This window comes from Homo sapiens, chromosome 8, assembly GCF_000001405.40.
Source record: "Homo sapiens chromosome 8, GRCh38.p14 Primary Assembly".
Lineage (NCBI taxonomy): Eukaryota > Metazoa > Chordata > Mammalia > Primates > Hominidae > Homo > Homo sapiens.
Genome location: NC_000008.11, coordinates 33,835,924 through 33,858,662, shown reverse-complemented (window position 1 = coordinate 33,858,662; position 22,739 = coordinate 33,835,924). Strand labels below are relative to the sequence as shown.

At 37.3% G+C, this 22,739-nt stretch overlaps 1 long non-coding RNA gene across 5 annotated transcripts in view, besides 1 other annotated feature; it reads right to left on the bottom strand.

The window, feature by feature from the left end:
* Positions 1-22,739, bottom strand: part of LOC105379364 (uncharacterized) — a 535,736-nt gene that overhangs the window by 399,455 nt on the left and 113,542 nt on the right. The window lies entirely within an intron of this gene.
* Positions 452-952: an enhancer, noted in NCBI's record as "H3K4me1 hESC enhancer chr8:33715229-33715729 (GRCh37/hg19 assembly coordinates)". NCBI's record gives its function as "activates a minimal SCP1, AML or CMV promoter by ChIP-STARR-seq in naive H9 embryonic stem cells {active_cell/tissue: H9 hESC(naive)}" and the evidence as "EXISTENCE:reporter gene assay evidence [ECO:0000049][PMID:30033119]".

The following is a 22,739-nucleotide window of genomic DNA, read 5'->3' as shown; positions in this document are numbered from 1 at the left end:
TCAGCATTCTTAAAAACCGAAGAACTCTAGTAACATATATATTCCCAGATAACTGCTAGCCTACGTGTGTTTCTAAGAATATATTGCTTTGAATTATTTTCCTTAATAATCTAAACTTTCCAAATAATTATATTCTAATTCATCTTATATGAATATTATTGTGGATTTATTTTGTTAATTGCCCCAATGAGACAGAAAGAGTAACAACCTGATAAAAATGTTTGTGCAACATATTCACTAATTACTTGACATATCATGATTGCTTTTAAATTAATATATATTAACATCTAATTACATACTGGGTATTGCGTTAGGCTGTAGGGAAAATTGATGCTCATGCAATAAGTCTTCATGGTCATGGAATGTGCAGTGCAGAACCTTTGTGACAGACAGGGAGCTTCATGCTCAGATATAAGCGACTGGACTGAAAGGCGGTTGAGTTCCTGTCATCCTCGGCTGGTTGCTAGGCCCTGTCGTGTGTTGATTATTGAAACATTTTCATTCCACGTGCTCTGGGAAACTGACCTGAGCTCAAATATTTCAGTTGTTTGGAAAGCAGAGGTGCTGGTAGGAGCTCAGCTGAGCAGGGAGAGAGAGCTGAGCCTCCAGGTGTTAGAGGAGCCGATTAAAGCAACAAGCCAAAAGTGAAAGGATTAAACCTTCAATCACTTACTGCAATCGCTTATAAGAGGCTAAAACCTGAGAAACCTGTACCAACTCCCTTTATTCCATCTTCCCCCAGAGAACAGCACACTGACAGTGGGTCAGATGAATCGACACACACTGCGGGGGTGTCTCACTGTTGAGGGAGCCCCAAACAGCTGCATGGACTCTGAGGTGGGGGGAGGAGGGCAAAGAGGGAGGGCTAGGAGCGGACATGGACTGGGTCTTCAAGACTTCCCCTTCCTCCGTGCACAGGGAGGCCTCAGCAGAGGAGCATGAAGAAGCCCCCTGCCTAAGGCCTCAAATTTTGTTTTTAAGCTAGCTTGGTGTGGTGGCATGCACCTGCGGTCCCAGCGATTCTGAAGGCTGAGGCGAGAGGATCACTTAAGCCCAGGAGTTTGAAGCTGCGGTGAGCCGTGATGACAACACTACAATCCAGCCTGGGAAACCTCAGGAATGAAGGTGCCAGCGCCAGGAATGCAAATAGGGAAGAGCATGACCTGCCAGAGGGGCCTGAGGGCTTGAGTGCAGCTCCCTGCAGACATTAGAATACACTGGTTGTGCACTGAGTCTGGTGTGGGGAGAGCAGCTTCTCCTAAGAGCCTGCCAGGGAAAACCTTTGTAATTGCTGACAGTCAAGCTTCAAAAAAGAAAATCACCATTGGTTTTTAACCAAGAGCCAAGTTCCTCAGGTGTATGATTGAAATCTTAATCATAGACATCTATGTCTAATAATGAGAACCAGTGATTTATCCTAATTGTTCAACTCTCTCAGGAGATTTGGGTGGGGGAAGTGGGAAAACTTCTGAGGGCTTCATCACCTGGGAGAATTCCTACAAATCCCAACACTAGAATCTCTTTACGCCTTGAAAACTTGCCAGGATTCTTGTGCCTTCTACAAAGAGTTCTAAAGGAAGAGCAATACCTTAAACTGCTTTTTTAAATAACTCCATTGTAATCAGTCCAGAAATCTGAAAGTAATGCCCTTGGAATTGAAACTAGGATAAATAACTGAGGGGAGGGAAGAAAGAGAGAGAATTAAAATTAAATTAGCTGCCCGGACATGGTGGCTCATGCCTATAATCCCAGCACTTTGAGAGCCTGAGCCAAGGCAGGAGGATTGCCTGAGCCCGAGTCGGAGACCAGCCTGGACAGCATAGTGAGACTCTGTCCCTACCAAAAATAAATAAATTTTTGTTTTTAAGTTAGCTGGGTGTCGTGGCATGTACCTGTGGTCCCAGCTACCCTGGAGGCTGAGGCAAGAGGATCACTTGAGCCCAGGAGTTTGAGGCTGCAGTGAGCTGTGATGACACCACTGCAATCCAGCCTGGGCAACAGAGAGAGACCCTGTCTCAAAAAAATAAATAAATAAATACATTAGCCGTAATTTTCCTAAGGCCAAGCTTTGGGAGAAAAATTATTATTTCTTCATAATTACCTTTTCCAATAGTTCAAGATTTTTATCCCAGCCTGCTGTTTTATTTTCATTACAGTATTTTTTCTCCAAGAAATGTACTCACAGCATGATTTCTTAAGACTCATGGTGTCTTCAAGCTCATATAACCTAAACCACTCATTTTTCAGGTGTTGTCTGGCATAACCCAACTCATACAGCCCAGTTATTGAGGGAAAGAGGAAGCCCCTCATTCTCCCGAACCCCCATCTGGGGCTCTTCTGACAGCACACAGGAGCTCTTCTCCACTGTTTCCTTTTTCAAATCTGATGTGACTTAAAGTCTTTGAGGAGCTAAGCTTTAACTTCTTCAAAGAGTGTCATCTATGTCTAATAACAGAATCAGGTTTTCTGTTACTATCAGAGAGATCACTTTGAATTCCTACATCAAATCTTCGGTGTCCTTCAAAAAGCAAGTTGTTAATAGTCATATTAGGATAAAAGAAACATTCTCAGGGAAGGAGAGGGTTCAAAAACCTGCACTAAAAATGCTTACTCCATAGATCAGTAATCCTGGGGTCTAATAATTAATATAGCCTACAAATGCTTAAATTTAACAAAGGAAATATCAACAGGTACATTCATTCTAGTTTTTATTGTATTGTGAAATTCAACAATAACTACTTGGAAATAATCTAAAAATGTGTAAATCATGGCACTTGCCTCCAGGAATTTATAAGCCAATAGAGAAAATGCATATAAAAATATATGTAGTACAAGAGCAGAGTTTCCAAGAAGCAAAAGGAGTCTCTTGACTAAGAAAATGGAGCGCTTAAATAATGAGTGAGGTCTGGACAGGAGACATGTTGATGGATGGGCCACTTCAGATAAGGGGAAGAAAGAATCTGGTAGCAGGAAATTAAAGGGAATGTTAAACAAAAGATGAGTATCCTTGATAACTAAGTGTAGGATACACAAAAGTGCACAGTGGAAGGAAAGACTCCAGCTAATATTGAAGACACTTTCTAGAGGGTATTAAAGGCCAAGCTTTGGTGTTCTTTCCTTTTTACCTGATGTGGTGGTCACTGCAGGCTACAGGAAGGCTACAATACATTCATGGGACCACTCATTCCATTTACAAAGCCTTGCCTCAGTGGGGTTTGCATCCTGTTTGTAGTTTCGTTGCTTTATCGATTAGCTAGCAATTACCTCAGTGTGTTTGGGTAGACAGGAATCAGAGAGTTGGCATCCTATTTTTCTGGAGTCATTAAAAGTTTATTCTGACTGGGCACTGTGGCTCACACCTACAATCCCAGCACTTTGGGAGGCTGAGGCAGGTGGATTGCTTGAGCCCAGGAGTTCGAGACCCTATCTCTATTTTTAAAAAATGATCCTTTCTATGGTTTCCAATTATAAATGTTCAGCAGCTTAGCTACCAGGGAAGTTGGCCATCTTTACCTGGCAGAAAAACTTTCAGAGTCAATAGACTGACTTTCATTATTTAATTGAGCTTCATTTTTATAACATTCCAAATAGTATTGTGGCTGTTACTTTCACCACTATAAACAATGAGAATACAATGTTTCAAGTCCAGGATATTTAGAATCTCAGCCTAGAGTATCAGAAGGGGCTGTTCTCTGCCTGAGGACCTCTATGACTCTATTGAAAAGACAAGCTTTCCTGGATATTTCCTGGATCCCATCCTGCTTGGGATTTATCTCTTCTTCAGGGAGCTTACAGTCAGAGAATAATCACTTTCATGAGTCGTGAAGGTCTGGTAAATACTTCAGTGTCTTTTCACCAGTTCTTTGCCATGTTCATGAAATCCATGAAATGACTCTGCTAAGCTATTGGCACCACACATTCTCTCTGTAAGGAACCATAGGAAATTCACCCACATCTCATTCTCCCAGTATCAATCCCAACTCTACTTGAACATGGGCAGAAACTTTTGTCCTTCTTTAGATTTGGTCTTAGACTGTAAACCCCTGTGCTGGCCAGAGGATGATATAAGGTCTTCACCCATTTCATGGTAATTCTAGTCATTTTCCTCCTCTCCAGTGGAGTGTTCTTACCTCTCCAGTATAGTGTGCTATTAATGGAGCTAATATATCTTTTTAAAAATGAAAACAAAAACAAAAAACTTTTCTGAGGGGAGCTAAGCAAATGATAGTTTACACACTTGCTAAAGAAGGCATTGACCAACTCAAATTCAACTAGCATAAAACTATTTAAGCTATATCTCCACAGGAAAAGCAGCATTTTCTACTATGTTCTAATTTGTTTTTAATCAAAGTACATTCCTCCTCATGAATATCTGCTTTCATCTGCTTAGTTATATATGATTTAACTTAAATGTTGTCTATTTCAGAATAGCAGGTAGAATGCTTAAATTCTTCCTGCACCAACTGCATTACATATTAAATATCTCTTATATCAATTAGTACAGTCACAAATACGGAGCAGATTAGAAACAAACGGTTACATTATTTCTGGATCCTAATCTAGAGGGAAGATCATATATTGATTCCTCTCTAAACTGATGCTAGAATAATCTTGCTACTTATTTTCAACTCCAGGGTGCAAAGTAATAGCAGTTCTCTTTATGGTTATGTGATGTGAACCATTGACAAAATTACACTGTAATTACTATATAGAGTCAAGGTAATTACATAACAATTGTCCTATAATTATTAGATTTTGTATCTGATTTATAAACTGCCATATGAATTATGTGGTAATTAATACTGGGTCTTCCTGGTATAATTTAGTTATTATTCATTAGTTCATTAGGAAATTCTGCATTCACACAGATCAGTGTGTTTAAGCCATAACAATCAGTGTTTAAATCTCGAAGGCTTAGGAGTCTGACTCATGCATTCAATAACTCAAAAACTAGTGTAAAGCTATTTATGGTTTGACAAAATTAACCAAAGTGATCAAACATGATTCTAATCCAAATTATAATATTTAGGAAACACATATATTTTTCAATGTTTAGGACGTGTGTGACACACACTTTATTTTTGCAAACTACTACCAGTTCCATGTCCGCTCCTACCAAGCTGATAAATATGGAGTGTTGCTTACTAAAAAGCCAGTAAGTAAAAGGAAATCTGACCAAGCGCTGCCCAAAATGTTTTCATACAGTTATTCTCAATCTTGGCCACGTATTGTAATCACCTGGAAACCTTTCAGTATTGACGTTTAGTACTCTGGAGCCTAACCCCAGAGTTTCTGATTTAATTGGTCTGGGGTGAAGCTGGGTCATTGGAGGTCTAAAAGTCTCCCAGGTGGCTACAATGTATATAGCCTGGCCCATTTTTATTTGCAACCCAGGTTGGGCACCACTGATTTTGAAGCATCATTAGAAATGAAACCTAAAGGTTGCTGGATGTTTGCAATTTCCAAAACTCTAAAGTTAATTTTTGCTCATATGTTTGGACAATAGAGTCAAGAATGCCAGTTTTCACACTCTTGGTAATGAAGCTTATGTGGCTTGCTCCACCTTGCTAAATGTGTTCTATCACCTACATTAACTTCATTATTCAATTTTTAAAATTTTATCAAAGAATACAGGAACATACTTGAAAAAGTCAAATAGTGCCATGAGGCTTATAATGGAAATCAATAGTTCCCTGCTTTACTTTGCCCCAGTGCAAGGTTATAATCCCTACAGATAATCATTATTAACTCTTCTATTTCTAAACAATATGCTTATACTGCTATGTCTTGATTTTACAATTTGATACCCTATCATTTGATTTTCTATCCACCCAACTCATCCCCCCGCTACACACACACTTCAAATCCCTCTCCCAGCTATCCAAAATACTTAAGCTACAAGTTGATTAAATCAATACTTAATGGTTACATAATTATGATGGTAAATATTTTTGACAACTGAAACTTGTATATAATACTGTTTGTAACTGTCTCAAGAAGGGGAATATTTGGTCAATATTCCATGTGCCTATCCATAAATTTTTCTGTTTTAAGCATGCTGCACATACTAATTTCACCCTCAAGACAAACCTATATGGTAGCACTATCATTATTTCCACTTTGCAAAAATAAAAATAAAAGTGAGTTAAATGTATCTGCCTGGTTAGTAAGTAATGAAACTGGGATGGAAAACCAGGTATTCAGGGTTCTTGAAGCTGAGCTCTTAACCATCACCCAAGACAGTAAAATGAGTGATAAGCAGTCAGCCAGTCTTTTGTGCCCCTGCCTGGAGCTGCTCCAGCCTGGAGCAGTTGCTTTCTCACAGTCTACACAGTTATCTACCTGGAACATCCCTAATCATAGGACTTCCCCTCATGCCCCTGTCCTTTGGGTCTCTTCTTTCCTGAACCTCATACTCTTTCTCATGCCTGATCCTTATTTATTAAAACACCACCATAGTAAATTCCCTACATAGGGAAAGGGAGGTAAAGTTTTGGGGGCATGAATATGTAAAATGTCTTTCCTTTGCCTGCGTAATTAATGTATTTGGCCAGTGTATTTTCTCTTGTGGCTGAAACAAATTACCACAGATGTAGTGGCTTAAAACCTACATTTATTGGACAGTTCTTGAGATCAGACTCTAAAACATATCTGCAAGGCTAAGTTCCTTCTGGACGATCCAGGGAGAATTCATTTCCTTGCCCACTTTTGAGAATGCTTTGAGAAAGCACCTACATTCTTTGGCTTATGACCCTTTCCTCCATCAACCTGTTTCTATTCCTCTTCTCCAGAGTTTGGAATTTTCTTTTGGAAACCATTCATCCTGTAAACAAAAGTTCCCTGAAAAGAAATTTGGAGGAAAGATATCATTCCAGTAAACAGTTTGCAAACAGGAGTTCTACACATTCTTTGTGTAAAACCAAAGTGAGTTCAAAGAGAGAACCAAGGGAAGACTCAGGTTTTATAGCAAAAGTTCCCACCCAGGTTCCTAATCAGGTCCATTTATGCAAATGAAGAATTCAAACTTGCTTAGGTCTGATTGGTCAATATAGCTGAGCCCTGGTTGGTTGGTACAGCCAAGCTCTGAAAGTCCTAAAGATAAAAAGTTTCTGGTTTTCAGGGAACTCAGAGTATGTGTGTGACCCCTAGTCAGCAAATGGCCACTTGGTTTCATTTTAAATTTAGGCCCAGTATTCATTTAGGATCAACCTTGAAGAATTGGCTCTTATAGATTCACATTTTCTCACAGTCCTCAGAATTTGGAAGACATTGATTTATTGTGTTTTTACCATCCTGGGCTGCCCTGGAGGAGCATAGGGCCAATACGTTTCCTTATTTTGTAAATGTGACCTGATTTTTCACCTCTCAATGTAACTTTCAGAAACTTCAAGCTACAATGAATGTCTGGGTGCAAGTCTTTTACATTAATTATAATGAATGCTTAGTGAGCCCTTAATATATGAAAATTCATGCTTTTAATTGCAATTAAAACAAAAATTGACAAGTGGGACCTAGTTAAACTAAAGAGCTTCTGCACAACAAAAGAAATTATCAACAGACAACCTACAGAATGGGAGAAAATATTTGCAAACTGTGCATCTGACAAAGGTCTAATGTCCAGAATCTATAAAGACATAAAACAATTGAACAAACAACCCCATCAATAAATTGAACAAATAACCCCATCAATAAATGGGCAAAAAACATGAACACTTCTCAAAAGAAGACATACAAGTAGCCAAAAAACATATGAAAAAATGCTCCACATCACTAAGCATCACAGAAATTCAAATCAAAACCATAAGATACCATCTCATGTGAGTCAGAATAGCTATTTTTAAAAAGTCAAAAAGCAACAGATGCTGGTGAGGCTGTGGAGGAAAGGGAACACTTATGCACTGTTGGTGGGCACGTAAATTAGTTCAGCCACCTGGAAAGCAGTTTTGAGATTTCTCGAAGAACTAAGAGTTGAACTACCATTCAACCCAGCAATCCCGTTACTGGGTATATACCCAAAGGACAATAAATTATTCTACCAAAAGGACATATGCACTTGTCTGTTCATTGCAGAGCTATTCACAATAGCAAAGACATGGAAACGACCCAGGTGCCCATCAACAGTGGACTGAATAAAGAAAATGTGAGAGAGATATACATGTATCTCTCTCTCTCTCTCTCTCTATATATATATAGTGTCCATATATATATATATGGAACACTACACAGCCATAAAAAAGAACAATATCATATCCTTTGCAACAACATGGATGAAGCTGGAGGCCATCATCCTAAGTGAATTAACGCAGAAACAGAAAACCAAATACCACATGTTCTCACTTATAAGTGGGAGCTAAACAGTGGGTATTCATGGACATAAAGATGGCAGCAATAGACACTGGACCTCCTAGAGAGGGGAAGGAGAGAGGGGAGCAAGGGTTGAAAAACTAACTCTTTGGTACCATGCTCAGTACCTGGATGAAGGGATCAATCATACCTCAAACCTCAGATTCATACAATATACCTAGGTATTAAACCTGCATATGTGTCTTCTGAATCTAAAATAAAAGTTGAAATTACTTAATATCAAAACCAAAAAAATGCAGCTTTTCCATTCTGAAAAGTTTTATTAAATTATTTCCTTGATGTCTCCTCCCATTGTCTCTTTTATTTCATTCTAACATTCTCAAATTAAGAGTCAGGGCTCTTAAATTGAGTCTCCCCTCCAGTTTTATACCTTTTTGTCATTTCATACTTTCTGGCAGATTTCTTCAACTTTAGCTTCCGACTTTTCACCTGATCTTTTTCTCATTTCTGCTGTATATTTTTGCATTCTGGGAGTTCTGCCTGGTTATCTCATGTTGCCTTTTGTTTATCTGTTGTTGTTGGCTTCTGTTGTTGGTTTTTATTATTCTTGCTTTTGATAAGGCTATCTTATTGTTTTATGGATACAATATCTGCTTTTGTATAATAAACATATGGATTATAGTTATTTTGTTGTTTTGTGTGTTTTGTTTTACTTTTAAATTTTCTATTGCTCTCTATATTGTTTTGTATTGTCGAATTTGCTTTTTTATATCATGATCCCAGAGGGCAGCTCAAGCTTCAGTCATTACCTCTGCATTGCAGCCTGTAAGATGAGGATGAAGAAGTAAAAGAACAAATCCTACGAACACGTCCCTTAAATCATATACACCTCTTCCATTTACATTCCATTGTTCAGAACTTAGTAACATCATGGCCCCTAGTTGTAAATAAGGCTAAGAAATACAATTTTTTTCTTGTTTTTTGTCTTTTGTTTTTTTTTTGAGACGGAGTCTCACTCTGTTGCCCACGCTGGAGTGCAATGACGCAATCTTGGCTCACTGCAACCTCCGCCTCCTGGATTCAAGCAATTCTCCTACCTCAGCCTCCTGAGTAGCTGGGATTACAGGCACATGCCACCACACCCAGCTAATTTTTGTATTTTTAGTAGAGACAACGTTTCACCCTGTTGGCCAAGCTAGTCTTGAACTCCCAACCTCAAGTGATCCACCCACCTCGGCCTCCCAAAGTGCTCAGGTTACAGGCATGAGCCACTGTGCTAGGCCACAAACTTTATTTTATAAGGCCATGTGCCCAGCTGAAAACTGGGGGTCTAGCTGTATCATAGATGCACCTGACAGCAATAACTTAAGAAATGGGAGTTGCCACATGGAGGTTACATGGAGGCAGGTGCTAGGTGAAAATGCTATATAAACTGCATGCTTTTTACAAGCAGCTGAAGTTCTCCTGTCCAGCCTGCTGCCACTGGAGTGTCCTTGTATGTAAGTTCCCCCAAGCAAAACACTACGCCTCATTTGTTGGCTCTGGGTCTCTTCTTTAGGCTCTTGAACCTGGTGCCATCCCTGTTGAAGCTGATGGGGTCTTGCATGAAACTAGGATAAGGGAAAAAAGAAAAACAGATCACTGGGAACAACCAGTAAGTAGTCTCCACCTCAACTTTTATTAACTAATGTGAGTTATTCCTCCAAAACCCAACTTCCACAGTAATGCTATAACTGATACATAGGCTACTTGATAGCCTATCTATGCCACCTCCACCATAAAGTATTCACTGATGATCGTACTGATGATTCTGAACCTGTGAACAACTTCAGTTTGCAAAGATTCAATTTGTTTGTGATACTGAACTTGCTAAGGCAAGAACATAGACAAGAAGGGTTTTGTTTTGGGAAGAATGATTCAACAGGAAAGGTCTTCTATTTAACCCACCATAAACATTAGAGATGATGTAGCCCGCAAGTTATTGAACAGTGTTAGTTTAAACTTTGCAGAAATGGATTTTTCTCGCAGATAAAACTCTAGCAGTATATAGTCCAAGATGCAAGGATGACTTCATAACAATATTATGAACCTAGGGACATATTAATCAGAATTTTTTTTCCCAGCAGGTGTCAGGAATCTTCATTTTCACAAGTAACTTTAATAAGTAATTGTGAAGCTGCTGGTCTCTGGAAGAGTGAGAGTGAGAAAAGGAAGGCAGTGCATACCTGGAGCTACTACAAACATGCTAATATACAAGAATTTGATTCATCATCTTCAGATTTGTTTCTCTAAGGATGTAGAAACACTTTTGTTTGGGCTATGTGTTTATTTATTTATTTCTCAGGAAAATACCAGCACAGCCTTGAGAGAGCAAGTGCAAACAAGTTACATTGCCCCTAGGGTGCCATTTACCCTCTGCTAAAGCACTGGTCTCCAGACCACACTTTAAGAAACACTGCCTTAAAATAAAAGTATAGTCGTTTAACCTAATCTCATTGAGAACTCTCTGGCCGGGCACAGTGGTTCACGCCTGTAATCCCAGCACTTTGGGAGGCCGAGGAGGATGGATCACCTTATGTCAGGAGTTCGAGACCAGCCTGGCCCACATGGTGAAACCAAGTCACTACTAAAAATACAAAATTAGCCAGGCATTGTGGCGGGCACCTGTAATCCAAGCCATTTGGGAGGCTGAGGCAGGAGAATCACTTGAACCTGGGAGACAGAGGCTACAGTGAGCTGAGATCACACTACTGCACTCCAGACTGGGCAACACAGTCAGACTCTGTCAAAAGAAAGAAGGAAGGAAGGAAGGAAGGAAGGAAGGAAGGAAGGAAGGAAGGAAGGAAGGAAGGAAGGAAGGAAGGAAGGAAGGAGACTCTGTAAATGATCTCACCATTGACACTACTGGCTTACTGATTTCTTAATTTTCAGAGAGAATGTGTTGTGGGCAGTGGAGTCCCAGGATGGAGGTGAGAGAGTGTCAAGTGACAAGAAGGGGGAAGAGGTAATATTGTAATTTAAAAATTATTTGTGAGCACAAAGAAGAGTCCTTCAGCTAATCAGTTAAAAATAAAGCCATTAAGTTCTCCTTTATACTCCTTCCCTGCAATGCTAGGGATCATTAAACCCCAAGGAACGTCTGACAAAACAATGCACCAAACAGCCACACCTGTTTTCATTCCATTTGTGTTTCCATCACTTTCTGGGTAGGAAGAAAGCTGTCTAACCTGATGACTCTGAATGGGGCATTCAGCAAATGGTATTTTGCTTCACATCAAGTGATTTCTTCCTAAGAAATCATCCCTGTTATAACAGCAAGACAATTAGAGGAGCATTGAGAAGGATTTGATTAATAGTGCTTCTGATTTTTCCTATTTAACCAGAATGTGGATATTTATGCCAGAACAGTAAAGAAGTTTAGATCCCAAATGGGTGCACAGAAACAGTGGTGGTATCTTTTTCAAAATTATTTTTTCACAGATGGGGTGATGGAGTCTTGCTATGTTGCCCAGATTGGAGCACAGTGGCTATTCACAGGCGTGGTAATAGCTTACCACAGCCTTGAATTCCTGGGTTCAAGCAATCCTCCTGCCTCAGCCTCCTGAGTAGCTAGGACTACAGGCATGTACCACCATGCCAAGCTGTTGATATCTTTTAATATGTGTGGTGGTGTATATGTGTGTACATTTTAATTGCTTACTATAAATCAAAAGTAATCAGATATATATTTATACACAGTTTCCTCAGTGTTTTGCAGATCTGGGGAAAGTATTTATCAGAAGAGGATTAATTTTGTTTCATTGCAAGTGGGCATTACATGCATACCCAGAAAGAAGTTATTCGGACAACAAGAGTAACCTATAGACCCTATAGACTTCCCTATTACTCAGCTTCAGTGCCCTTAATGCCAGAATCATGGCCGTAGAACCTCAGCTTGGAGAACTCCTTAGCACTCACACAAGTTAGAATGTATTAAATAAGGCTAAGCATTACTTGCCAAACATAATTCTAATTGTGAATATCCTTTACTATACAGTCTCCTCCTATTCATTGGGAAGCATATTTTTGATTTTCTGTGTAGTTAAAAAAGCAATACAGAATATCATAAGACATTCCATAGGCAAGTTTGTATCAAAAGAAGATTATTTGCTTTTTTAATATCCCTTTTTTCTCTGTGGCTTCAGCATTACATATTTAATTTGCAAAGAATTTCAAGCAATATAAAGAAAAAATACAAAGAACCCTAGGAATGAATTCCCTGGAACGCCCATGTTTTTATTAATCTGAATCTTAATTATGAGCCAATGCGTAGGCACCACATGTGGATTGTTTTAATGATTAGGTCTTGAACTTGGAAGTTAACATGTTTCACCATCTGTGCTGTTTAGTACATCACCACCCACCGAGAACAATTTCCATTTAACTAGCTTTCCCTGATCATGTCCCTGATCTTTCTCTCTCAACCCATATGTGCATATGTACACACATGCACATACATACACACACCATGTCTCCTCTAGTTTCCCAATTATGCATTTTCTTCCACCTGGTCTCTAATCTCTCACCACCTGTAATTCTACAATACATGCACATCAACTCCTGAACATAGAACAGATAGATTCTGGGTAGGCCTTATGGAAAGCAGTCCCATTTCTGTATAGTCATATCTTACTATATATGCACAGGGATATTTACAGTTCTACACATAGTAATTTGTTGTGGAATATCACAATTATCCTCAAACATATGCAAAAAAAATGTAATACCCAAAATATAAGATCCTGGCTTGTTTTAGTTATCTATCATTGTGCAACAATCATCCCAACACTTGCTTTTTAAAAAGTGACTTAATTTTCATGATCCTGTAAGTTTACAGGGTTGTTCTTCTGGCCTTTTCTCTAGGGACTATGCATGTTGCTGCATTCAGCTGGCAAGACAGCTAACAGTCAGGCTCAGCTGAGATAACGGGGATGGTGCAGTTTCCCTCTTGTGACCTTTCATTCTGGGTGTTGACATGGCAACAGCTCAGGGCGACATTCCAAGAGGGAAGCCCCAATAGGGGAATGCTTCACAAGTCCCTATTTGGGCCACATTTGTGATGTCCCATTAACCAAAGCAAGTCAGTGACCAAGGCCAGAGTCAAAGTGGGAGAGGAATACATAAGTGCTTGGATATTGGAAGGTGTGACTTGCTGGAAGTCATTACTCTAACAACCTTCCATATGGCCCAATATCATACAGTCATCCAAAGCTATGGGACGTGGACTCTTCATATGAAGGATGAGGTATCTGAATACAAACAATCTAAAAACATTTTTATTTATGTGTGTTCTGTAGGGAATGATTTACCTTGAAGACAGGCTCAATAAATGAAAAACATCCCTGGGTTATTCAAAACAATTGATAACCTCTTTAACACAAGACATGCACACTTCCTACCATGAACAAAAATCAGAGAGAACAGGAGAAATGTGACTGAGTCAACTCAGGGTGGATTCCTTTCGCTTTTCAGCTGACATTTCCTGTGCATATGTGCTCCTGTGACCATGTATCAACAAGTCCAACTCAATGTAGACTGGTATTAGATTAGCAAGTGTCTTGCTTTAATTTTTTTCTCTATATCTAGTGTCCTTACCCTGGAGTGTGGGACAAGTTGTTATTGAGAAGGAGAACCTCTGAGGACAAAAAAAATAGGATAATGAAGCTCCAGTTTTTCAGGAAAGAGGAAACTAAGTAACCCTGAGAGAATCAAGCAATCTAGTGGTATCTGGGGGAGCTCTTGGAGAAGCAGGTGGGCATCTTATTAGATGATGTCTGCCTGAGTTATTCCTCAAGAGGTGTGTGTAAATTGCTTTGCGCTTCTCTGTCCCTTTTGGTTGTTCCCTGAGGACCAAGGGAAGTTCCATGGTCTCATAAGTTACTTGAATTTTATTCAAAAAAAAATAACCCTCATAAATAGAACCAAACACCTTCATTTTTATGCACATGTGGACATTCCTTATAAAATTTTTAATACTAACCCCAGGAGGGGAAGTTTTCCTTGACTACATTTTTGAGGTTACCTCATTAACGGGCTCCCTGCCATGACCTTCTTTGCAATTCATACAGAACACTGCTGTAGCTGTTCTGTAAAACCAAAATCCTCCAGCTCTAGAGAGGGGACACCAAGGAGAACTGCCATGAATATATTTCAGTTGAAAGTTCCAGGAAACTGCTTGAAGGACCAAAACTTTCCTGCCTGCCAAATCTCAGATCCCAAACACAAGCCACTAGAGCCAGGAGTTTGGTCTTAAAATCTGTTTTAATGGACTGGGCAATCTAATCTTATAACTAGATCCTATTCACTATTAATTATTAAAATAAAGTTAGGCTCCTTTAGGGGCATAAATGCCTTCTATGGTATGAGACTAAATCTCTGTATCAGTAAGAAAACCAGATTGGAATGGAAAATTCTCAGGTGGTCCAGACCACCAAGGATAACTTTGTTGGGCTTTGAGGTTTGGCATTATAGGAACTAAAGTGAATCAATCCAGCCAAATATTTCAGCCCTCCAGTACCAATTATGGTGTATGGAGCCAAAGCTAGATAATGCCCTGAATGAATATCTAATCTATACTTAAGCCTCATAATATTTACATATTGGAGTCCTTGCTGTCCGTCCATGCCTATCCCAGCCATGCCAAAGTATAGCTGCTAAAGACCTGAAAGCTATTGTCTCATACAATCTGGGCCCAGAAACAGCGACAAGCTCAGGCCATAGGTCTCCATTCTTACTTCCTACTCACTTATAAATACACTGTAATCTGGCTTCTGCCCTTATCACTTCTCCTTGGCAGCTCTCCCTAAATGAATTACAAAATTCGAAGATGGTCTTCATCTTCTCTGAGCTCTCAGCTGATCATTATTCTCTTTTTCTTTTGGTTTTATAATCTGTTTTTTAATTAGCATATAATTTTTTGTATTTAGTAATATAGAATATCACCCATCTCCTACTTCTTTTGTCCCAGTCTCCCTCTGATGCTCCTTTTCTGCAGAACCCAACAGGAAGCCAGTCAACAAAAAACAACTGGGAATTGCAAAGTCCCAGCCCTGGCATCAGAAAGTAAAGCATAAAAGAATGAACTTGGAGGTGAGGCACATTAGCTTAATAACCCATAAAAAAGGCAAATTTGTGTTATGTTGGGCTTTTTAAGTATCTATTTGGTAGAAATCACAGATACAACAATCTAGGCCAAGAGTGTTCCTCGTGAATAATAGTAGACTTAAGTTTGTTTATAATCATAAAAATTCATACTTAATTCTTGTGTCTTGTCAGTTTTGACAAGTTGTATTTTTCAAAATATTAACTACTTATTTTGAAATATTTATTTATAACCTCATATCTTCATATTATTTTTAATGACTCTCAAATATATAGCAATGTCCTTTTTTTCATTCTTGACATTATCAGTTTTCTATTTTTTTCTTTTTATCTTTAATTGGTCTTCCCAGAATTATACTGATTTATTGATATTTTCAAAGAAGCAATTTATTCATTTGATTCTGATGGTACACTCTTTTGTATGATTTGGCTAATTTTATTAATTCCTGCCCTTATCTTTATTTTACTTTCTATGGGCTTAATTTATTGCTTTTTTTCTAACTTCTTTACATAAAGACATACATCATTTGTTTTTAGCTTTTCTATATACACACACACACACACACACATACATACATACATACATGTAATCTATGTACCTCCCTTAAATAGAATTTTAGTTATACCTCACACATTTTTATCTCTTACATATTCATCCTCTGTCAACTCAGAATATGTTCTCATTTTTATTGTGATTCTTGTTTGATCCAGGAATTACTTAGATGTTTACTTTATAATTTGAAAATATTTGAGACTTTTTCACTTACATTTTGCTGTTGATGTCTAGCTTAAGTTTTGCAGCTTGTGTGTAACTGAAAAAATTGAAAATAGAAAAAATATTGTTGTGCAGTGTTCTACAATGTAAATTAAGCCAGTGTAATAATAATCTGTTAAATTTCACAGCTTTACTGACATTTTGTTTTTCTACTTGGTTTATCAGTTATTGAGGGAAGTGTATTAAAATCTCCTACTGTCTCCTATAGTGATAAATTTATTTATTCTTTTAGTTCTATCAACTTTTGCTTAATTCATCTTACTGTATATATTATTACTGATACAAGTTTAGAATTATTATAATTTCTAGTGGAATGCTTCCTTTATTATCATGAAATGTTCCACTTTATATCTAGTAATGCTTTCAGCCCTACTGCTGTTTTTTCCAAGATAATATATCATTTTTCTCTGTTTTATGATCTTGTCTTTTGTTTTCAGCAGTTTCCATGCGGTGTGTGTATGACTACCTGTGATTTTCTTTGCATTTATCCTGCTTGTATTTGTTGCTTGATGTCTTTAATTTTTGAGAAATTTTTGGCTGTTGCCTCTTCAAAGATTGCTTCTGACTGATTTCTTTCTTTTTCTGAGACTTTACACGTATGTTAGAAGTTTTCACCTTGTCCCATATACCTCTTATGTCTTTTCTGTATTTTCTTTCTTTTATCTCTCCTACTTTTCAGTTGTCAACCTTTCAGCCATTGCTTTTGATGTGGCAAATGCTTTGAGAGGAGCCTTAATATCATGTGTGATTCCTCTCTCAGGGCTTTCCTCCTATCTAGGACCTAGGGTTTATAAGTCCTTAATGTCTCAATGGCTCCCCACAATTTTCAAACTGATTAATTTTAATTTTTTCTGACTTTTCTAGTTCTTGGCAGGAGGGTTAGATGGAACAACGTAGTTTGTCATTACTGGCAGCAGAATTCTCACAGTACTATTATGTTATATTTTCATTATTTTTCAGATTTAAGTATTTTGAGTTTTCATCAAAATTTTTCTATGACATATAAGTTGTTTAGAAGAGTGTTTCTCAAAAATATAGAAATTAAGTCCATATGTATATGGTCAACTGACATTAACAAGAGTACTAAGACCATTGAAAGGGGAAAGAAAAGTCTTCTCAACAAATGCTACTAGGATGAGTGAATATCCACAACAGAAGAATGAAATGACATATAAGTTGTTTAGAAGAGTGTTTCTCAAAAATATAGAAATTAAGTCCATATGTATAGGGTCAACTGACATCAACAAGAGTACTAAGACCATCAAAAGGGGAAAGAAAAATCTTCTCAACAAATGCTACTAGGATGAGTGAATATCCACAACAAAAGAATGAAATTAGACCCTTACTTGATACCGTATACAAAAATTGGCTCAAAATGGATCAAAGACCTAAATATTAAGAGCTAAAACTATGAAACTCTTATAAATCTTCAAAAAACGTATAAACCTTCATACAGATTTGGCAATGGATTCTTAGATATGACACAAAAAGCATAAGCAACAAAAGAAAAAAATGAATTGGACTTTATTAAAAGTAAACACTTTTATGTACCAAAGGACGCCCTCAAAAGAATGAAAAGGCAACCCACAGTATGGGAAAAATATTTGGAAATCATATATCTGTTAAGAGTGTAGCATCCAGAATCTTAAAGAACTCTTACAACTTAACAGCAAAAAGACAACCCAATTTAAAAATGGACAAAGATCTTGAATAGATATTTCTCCAAAGAAAATATACTAATGATGGGCTGGGAGCGGTGGCTCACGCCTGTAATCCCAGCACTTTGGGAGGCTGAGACGGGTGGACCATGAGGTCAGGAGTTCAAGGCCAGCCTGGCCAAGATGCCGAAACCCCGTCTCTACTAAAAACACAAAAATTAGCCAGGCGTAGTGGCACTTGCCTGTAATCCCAGCTACTTGGGAGGCTGAAGCAAGAGAATCGCTTGAACCTGGCAGCAGAGGTTGCAGTGAGCCGAGATCATGCCATTGCACTACAGTCTGGGCAACAGAGCAAGACTCTGTCTCAAAAAATAAAATAAAAATAAAAAATAAAATAATGAAAATATACTAACGATCAATAAGCACATGAAAAAAATGATTCCCATCATCAGACATTAGAAAAATTCAAATCAAAATCACAATGACATAGCAAATACTACTTCATACCCACTAGGATGATTATATTTTTAATGTAAAATAATATTGACAAGGATGTGGAGAAATTGGAACCTACATACATTACTGGTGGGAATGTAAAATGGTGCAATCACTTAAAAAAATATGTGGTGGCTTCTCAAAAAGTTAAACATAGAATTATCATGTGACCCAGCAATTCTGCTCTTAGGTATTTGCCTAAAAGAAATGAAAACATATGTTCATATTAAAACTTAATGTATAACTGTTCATAGCAGCATTATTTGTAATTGCTAAAAAGTAGAAACAACCCAAATGTTGATCAACTGATGAATGGATAAATAAAACATGGCATAGTCATACAATGGAATATTATTCTGCAACAAAAGAACAAATTACTGATACATGCTAGTACCTGGATCAACCTTGAAAACATTATGCTAAGAGATAGAAGCCAGGCACAAAAGGCCACACCTGGCATAATTCCATTCATGTGAATGTCCAGAATAGAAAAACCTATAGAGACAGAAAGTAGACTAGTGGCTTCCAGGGACTGGGGTTGGGGAGGAGTGGATAATAATTGTTAATGGATATGGAGTCTCTTTGGTGGAGGTAATGAAAATGTTCTGTAATTAGATATTGATGAAGGCTGGGCAACTGTGAATGTATTGTAATTATTAAACTATACACTTTAGCCTGGTTAAAATGGTGAATTTTATGGTATGTTAGTTTTACCTCAAAAACAAAAAAATTTAATAAATATATGGATTGGATTTTTGCTATAAATTAAATAAAACTCTGATCAGACAATGTGGTCTCTAGAATATTAAATCATTGAAATTTGCTGAGCCTTGCTTTGTGGTTTAATATATGGTCAATTTTTATAAATATTTCATGTGTGCTTAGGAAGAATGCATGCTTTCTAATTGCAAGCAGAGTTCTATATATGTCCAATGTATAAAGCATGTTAATTTTGTCATTGATCTATTTTACTTCTATGCTAATAATTTGTTTCTTTGATCTATTAATAAGGGGAAAGACATGTCAAAATTTCTTATTTGGTTGGTGTATTTGTTAATTTCTCCCTGACGTTCTATCAAGTTTTGCTTTATATGTTATTGACTAGATTATTAGTTAGAAGCAAGTTTAGAACTATATTATCCTAATAAATTAAACTTTTAATCATTATGTAATAAACACCATTATACTTCTCATACTTTTTATCCAAAAGTCAGCTTTTCACTAAACTCAGTTTCGGTTACCTTTGGTTTGGATTTGCCTATATTTTTCCTTTCCTTTATTTTCAACCTGATCATGGTTTTTTATGCTTTAGGTTGGCTTTAAAAGATTAGATTGCTGCCTTTATTTTTGCTCTTAATCCAATTTGACAAACTGCATTTTAATCATCAAATGTGGTTCTTTTTAATTTACTGTGATCACAGATATATTTGGACTTGGTTTTACCTCCTTATTTTTTGCTTTTGATTTTTTTCTCTCTTTTTGTTCTCTTCACTTTGTATAGATTTTTCTTGTTTGAATAACTCTTTATTCCATATTTTTCTCTACCTGTTTGGAAATTATGTACTCTATTTCTATTTTTTTAAAGTTACCTTTGAAATTTAGCATCTATGTGTAACAAATCTAAAATTAGGAGTTTTTCTCTCACTCTTATCCATTCAAGAATTCTTAGAACATTTTAAGTCTGATCACCTCAATTCTGGCTTATATACTATTGCTCCTCAGTATTTCAATTGTGTCTTTATTAGCCACAACAAGTTATCCATTATCATTATATAGACATTGCTCACTTATCTACATTTAAAAATTCATTTGCTCACAATTTTATTCTGCATCTTAGGCCTTTTCAAAACAATTTTACTTCCTCCTGAAGTATATGTTTCAGAAGTTTATTTTGTGCAGATCTATTAGTGATTAACACTCAGTATGTAGTCAATATTTAATTATATGAAAATTCCTGTATATTACTCCAATTTTTGAGATAGAGACAATTCTAGTCCAATATTTTTCTCTCTGAATTAAATATATATTTTATTAACATATGCAATTATTCTGACTTCCATTTTTTCAGGTTTTAAAAAAGCCTATTCTAAGTCTTTTGGAGGGGAAAGAAGGTTATAATTTGTCTTTTCTACATGGCTACATCTTAGATCTCTTTGTCATTGATGTTCTGCAGTTGCTCAACTTTATAACTAGGGGTAGATTTCTTTTCACTTTATTCTTCTTGGTAAATATTATCTTTCCTGTATCTGTGGCTTATATAGTATCAGTTCTAGAAAATTCTCAAATTTATGCTTTCAAATATTGCCTCTCCTTCAATATTTTTATTTTTTCTTCCTAGGGCTTCAAATACAAGTATGTTAGGCACTCTCATTCTCTTCTCCATATCTATTAACCTCTCTCATATTTTCCATTTCAGCTTTCTGTGTGACATTCTGAAAGTTTTCAGCTCTGTCTTTCAGTTCACTAATTCTTTCTTCAGCCACATCTACTCTGTTGTTTGGTCCATCCCTTAAGTTTTTTTTTTAATTGATGATTACATTTTATTTTTAATTTTTATCTGCTTCTTTTTACATCTACATGATTACTTGTATATATTGCCATGATGTTTATCTTTTTTTCCATTTTAAAAAAAATTCTTTAAACATTCATGCATAGTGTGGAAGACAAAATAAAGCTTCCATCGCCAATGATGTCCTCATTCAAATCCCCCAGAAACTTTAAATATGCTACCTTACATGGCAAAAGAGACTTTGTAGATGTCACTAAGGTTCTTGAAATTGGAGACTATCCTGAATTATCTGGTATTATCTATATTTATATTCCAATATAATCACGAGGGTTCTTATAAGAAGAAGGTAAAAAAGCAAAGTCAGAAAAAATAAATGTGACAAGGGAGCCAGAAGTTGTAGTCATACACTTAGAAAATGGAGGAGGGAGCCATAAACCAAGAAATGTAAGTAGTCTCTAGAAGCTAGAAGAGGCAAAGAAATATATTTTCCTCTAAAGCTTCCAGAGGAACATATCCCATACAACATCTTAATTTTAGACTTCTGAAGTCTAGAACTGTAAGAGAATAGATTGGTGGTGTTTTAACTCACTAAGTTTTGCAGTAATATCTTATAGCAGCAACAGAAAGCTAATATGTATAGTTATCTCACATACATAGATAATAGTTTTATTACCTAAAATTCTTGAGGAATTAAATCTGTTGTTTCTCTCCCTCAAGATGATTTGTGAGCTCATGATGGTTGTTTATTCAGGATTCTCTGGAGAAACACAACCAATGGGATACAATGGGGTATATCTGTGTCTGTGAACACACACACACACATAAGGAGTGTTATTATGGAAATTGGTTCACACAGTTTCTGCATTAGTCTGTTTTCACAGTGCTATAAAGAACTGCCTGAGACTGGGTAATTTAAAAGGAAAGAGGTTTAATTGACTCACAGTTCTGCATGACTGGGAAGGCTACAGGAAACTTACAATCATGGCAGAAGGCAAAGGAGAAGTACATTATTCACAAGGTGCCAGGAGAGCGAGAGAGAGAGAGAGAGAGAGAGAGAAGGGGGAAGTTCTAGATACTTATCAAACAACCAGATCTCATGAAAACATACTCACTATCATGAGAATACCATGGGGGAAACTGCCCCCTTGATCCAATCACCTCTCACCAGGTCCCTCCCTTGACAGGTGGGGATTACAATTTGGATTACAATTCAAGATGAGATTTGGGTGGGGACACAGCAAAAACATATTAGTTATGGAGGCCAGGAAGTTCTACAATCTGCTGTCTGCAAGTTGAGAACCAGGAAAGCTAGTGGTGTAACTCAGTCCAAGTCTGAAGGCCTGAAAATCAGGAGGCCAATGGTGTAGATCCCAATCTATGTCTGAAAGCCCAAGAACCAGGAGCACTGGTGTCCAAGGGCAGGAGAAGATGGATTTCTCAGCTCAAGCCAGTAAAAAATTTGCCCTTCCTCCACCTTTTTTGTTCTATTTGGGCCCCTAAAAGCTTGGATGATTCCTGCTCACATTAGTGAATGCGGATCTTCTTTACTTCATCTACTGATTGAAATGTCAACCTCTTCTGGAGATATCCTCACAGATGTATCCAGATATAATGTTTTACCAACTATCTGGGTATCTTTTCGACCAGTCAAGTTGGGCTAAGGGGGTTAACAATTACAATGGTTGATTTTAACTTGTGGAAAACCTGGAGTCTCCATTGAGAATATATTTCTCTGGATAGTATTTCGTTTTGCTTCTCCTAAAGCCAACGGTTCTACCTATCTGAGATCATTCCAGTTCATTCCCAATTTCATGGGTTACATCTGGAAGTCTTGAGTTCCATTCCCTCATTTTGTCAC